The 4157-nt window shown below is 41.4% G+C and overlaps 1 annotated feature.

Annotated features, from left to right (window-relative positions):
* Positions 204–1403: an enhancer, noted in NCBI's record as "MED14-independent group 3 enhancer chr6:87433363-87434562 (GRCh37/hg19 assembly coordinates)". NCBI's record gives its function as "activates an origin of replication core promoter dependent on BRD2, BRD4, P300/CBP and CDK7 cofactors, and independent of MED14, by STARR-seq in HCT116 cells {active_cell/tissue: HCT116}" and the evidence as "EXISTENCE:reporter gene assay evidence [ECO:0000049][PMID:35650434]".

Below are 4157 nucleotides of genomic sequence, written 5' to 3' on the forward strand. Positions count from 1 at the left end.
TGAAAGAGAGCCACTAGGGAAGGAATTGGTGATAAAGTGTGGCCCAGAGGTACCTCATTGATAAGGTGATATGCAAATCCATACAGCCATGACATGAGAAGTGTATAATAAAAGTACCTGAAGGAAGAGACGAGTGTCACAGACAAAAGGAACAGCAAAGCCTCTAAAGCAGCAACATACTTGGTGGTTTAAGGAACAGCAGGAGGTAAGTAGGACTAGGTAATGGGGTGCAGGTCATGGAGGCCTTGGGGGCCACTAAAGAAAATTAACTTTTATCCTGAGTCAAATGGGAAGCCATCGCAGAGCTTCAAGCAGAGGAGTGATACGAGATGACTTATCTTTTACAAGGATCCTCTGGCTACTGTCTTAATAGACTGTAAAGGAGCAAGTTTAGAAGCAGAGAGACCAGTAAAGAGGCTAACAATGCACAACGCAGGCAAGAGATCAAGGCAGCCTGGCCCTGGGTAATAGTGGTGAAATCAGTGAGTGGTGATTACATTCCAGACATATTTTTAAGATAGATTGTCTATGGGGTATGAGAAATGTCAAGAATGACTCCCAGGTTTTTTTATCTGAAAATCTGGAAGAAAATAATTGGCATTTGCTGAGAAAGAAAATATCGTGGGAGGGCACAGCAGCATTTAGACCATTTTCTAAGGCCTGAGTCTGTTGCTACCTCACTCCTTTTCTCCCAAATTACAAAAGTTGCATAAAGCTTATGTGTTTGAGAGCCACAAGATGATGAGGGCTTATTACTACTGCCTCAACAAACACAGGAATGAGTTTCCGAGGGCACCTTCTTCCCACTCTGCATTCCATCCCCTCCCAGAACCCAGAAACAAAACGTGAGTTTGGAAAATTGGCTTTCATTCTGAAAAATTATGGACTTAAAATTTTAATCATATTTAAAATATTCAGGACTCTTTCTCCCATGTCAAGTAAATACAGGTCTTTTCATGTCTTCCTCCTCTTTTAGTTTGCCATTCCCAGTGCTCTTTCTGAAGTGTGCCCTTTGGAGAAAACAGAAAGAAGCTCTTGTTTCAGGTATGAGCTCATGTAAGTGACCATGTGGGTGGCAGCACCTTTCCGGAGTTGGCTCTCCTTTTGTTTTTTAGGCACAGATTCTTGAAGGTAGTTACCCATTTCCGGCTCAAAAGCCAGAAATTCCCACCTACAGACTCTTCTATCATAGGTTTGACTCCCTCCAAGAAATGGAGAGCCAGAGAAGCAAATCAGTTTTTAAACAGAGATCATAAATAATAAATCAGCATATCCATCAGTCATCACTACATTGCTATTTTTCTTAAAAAAAAAAAAAAAGTCCAGTGATTCTTACCTCTAAAGTACTGGTTTTTTAATCTTTATTCCCAGCATGTGTTTTCTCACTTGCCTTCCTACAAGTTGAAAGATGTTTCCTCATCCTGCCTGGACCATGCTCTGCCCCACACAGCTGGGATGGGGCGTGGGCCCACCTGGGGATATAGCCGTCACTTCACTTGATCGTGAACTGTGCTTCTCCAGCAAGGAATTGTTTCTTGAGTAAGTACTAAACTGTTTTCAAAGGGTTACCCTGTGGAAAGTATCATGCTAGATACTGTACAGAACAAAAAGTTCAAGAAAGCTTACTCTCTTGAAGACATGAAAAACCTCACGAACTTTTCTTAAGACATACTAATCAGTTTAAGTCAGAAAATATGTAATGCTATCAAAGGTAAAAGGCAAGGTCTGGGAGCAGAGCGGCTGCAAACTGTCTACCACTGTATCAATAAGAGGAAAGAATTCCTCACAGGAAGCCTCACCCTGAGGCTCAGATGAGTCTGGTGCAGGCACTCCCTGAGTTCAGAGTGGTGGCAGGATCTAAGGGGCTCAGGAGCCTGTCACACAGAGAGGAGGGGATGACCACTGAGGAGCTCAGCAAGAATGAGATTCCAGAAGATTTCAGGTTGGTAGCTTAGGGGGAAAATCTGCATCAAATCCCAGGTGTAGTGGCAGGAAGGAAAGCAATATCACGTTAGGGACAGGACAAGAAGAGAAACCTGGGCTGAGTCCCTAAACATTGCAGAAGGCAGGCAGAAATCATGCCTGGCAGGATAACTGCTTCCTCTGTGATTTCTCCCTGGATTCCCCTCCCACAGTTTCCCAGCCCCCACATAGAGTTAACATCCTCCTTCATACCACCAGGTACTTTGTACACTTAATAGACACGCTCATGTTGTACATATGTTTATGAGCCCAGCATTGAGCAATTCCTCACATGTAATGAACATTCCACCAGTACTTACTGAAGTGAGCTGAGAGTCGGGGACTAAAACAGAATTAAGATAGCCCCTATAGTCTCCTCTTGATGTGAAGATAAGCCGGCAGACAATTGTGTTCATTTTCTGTGGTTGCTGTAACAAAATAACACAACTTTTTGGCTTAAAACAATGCACATTTATTCTCTTAAGATTTGGCGGCCAGAAATCTAAAATCAGTTTCACTGGGCCAAAATCGAGGTTCTGGAAGGACTAGCACTTCCTCCAGAGGTTCTTGGGAAGAATTTGTTCCTTGCCTCCTCTAACTTCTGGTGGCTGCTAGTATTCCTTGGCTTGTGGCTGCATCACTCCAGTCTCTGCCTCTGCCACATTGCCTTCTCATATTCTGCATGTATGTGTACTATCCTCTTGACTCTGTCTTATAAAAACTCTAGTGATTTCACTTAAGATTTCCTGGATAATCTACAGTAATCTCCCTATCTGCAGACCCTTAAGTTAATCACAACTGGAAGACCTTTTTGCCATATAAGGTAACATTCAGTTTCAAGGGACTGGGACATGGATGTCTTTTGGGAGGCCATTATCTAGCCTACTATAAAGAGCTTGGTTACCTACAAAGGCAGAGGAATGAAGTTAAAAGAATACAGGAAAGAGAGACACTTCTCTGATAAGCCCTTTTTGTATAGTTTTGACCTTCAGGACAATGTTAATTTTTTTATATTTAAAATTTAAATCAACAGGCCAGGCACTGTGGCTCACGCCTGTAATCCGAGCACTTTGGGAGGCCAAAGCAGGTGGATCACAAGGTCAACAGATTGAAACCATCCTGGCCAACATGGTAAAACCCCATCTCTACTAAAAATACAAAAATTAGCTGGGCATGGTGGCATGCCTATAGTCCAAGCTACTCAGGAGGCTGAGGCAGGAGAATCGCTTGAACCCAGGAGTTGGAGGTTGCAGTGAGCCGACATCATGCCACTGCACTCCAGCCTGGAGACAGATTGAGACTCTGTCAAAAAAAAAAAAAAATCAACAAGAATGGGAAAGGGTGAAAAAACCTAAAACTGAAAGCAAACTGAAAGAGATGATTAATATTTCAAATGAATAACAATCACACCTAAAGGGATTAAGAGAAAATACTAAAAAGTAATTTATGATTGCAGTATTTTACCATACACTGTCAGTCTTGGGAGGAATAGGATGGGAGAAGAAGGAACCACAAACAAATTCTGAACTATTTTTGTAGGTTTGTTTTTTGTAGTAGTGTGGAGTAAGCAATTCTGAAACTACCTGAGATGCATTATAGAAATGAACAAGAGAATAAATATATTGATGTGCTTGAGAGCCAAGGTTCTCACTGTGAAGAAGGCCTATAAAAATATCAGAAAAAGCAAAAAAGAATCCTGAGGGGAGGAATTGAAATTAGCAGCACTGGTATAAATCTATGATTTCTAAAATTTGCATATGTATGTGTATATGCCTATATATGTGTACATGCATGCTGGTGTATATATGTATGTATGTGCATGTATTTAGGTGTGTGTATGTATATGTGTATATATAAGCATATATTATTTAAATTTGTCCACTAGAAACTAGAAGCAAAGACACCCCAGTAGCAATGAGCACACCTAGCACCCAGATCTTGATTTTAACACCATTCTCCACTACAAAAACACCAGGGCTCCTCAGAGAAATGGCTGACTCCAGAACTTGGTCAATGTGGGTTATGAGAACAACCTGGAATATCTTATTCCAAAACGTAAGGAAGTAGTCAAAAAATGGTAGCACATGTCCTAAGACATGGGAGTCAACCCTCTGTGGCTCCCACTGGTCATATTTGTGATAACTTGAGCACTAAGATTATTAAGGATAGTAATGAATTGTAAACCTTTGAAAAAA

The sequence above is a fragment of the Homo sapiens genome, chromosome 6 (genome assembly GCF_000001405.40).
Source record: "Homo sapiens chromosome 6, GRCh38.p14 Primary Assembly".
In the NCBI taxonomy this organism is placed as follows: Eukaryota; Metazoa; Chordata; class Mammalia; order Primates; family Hominidae; genus Homo; species Homo sapiens.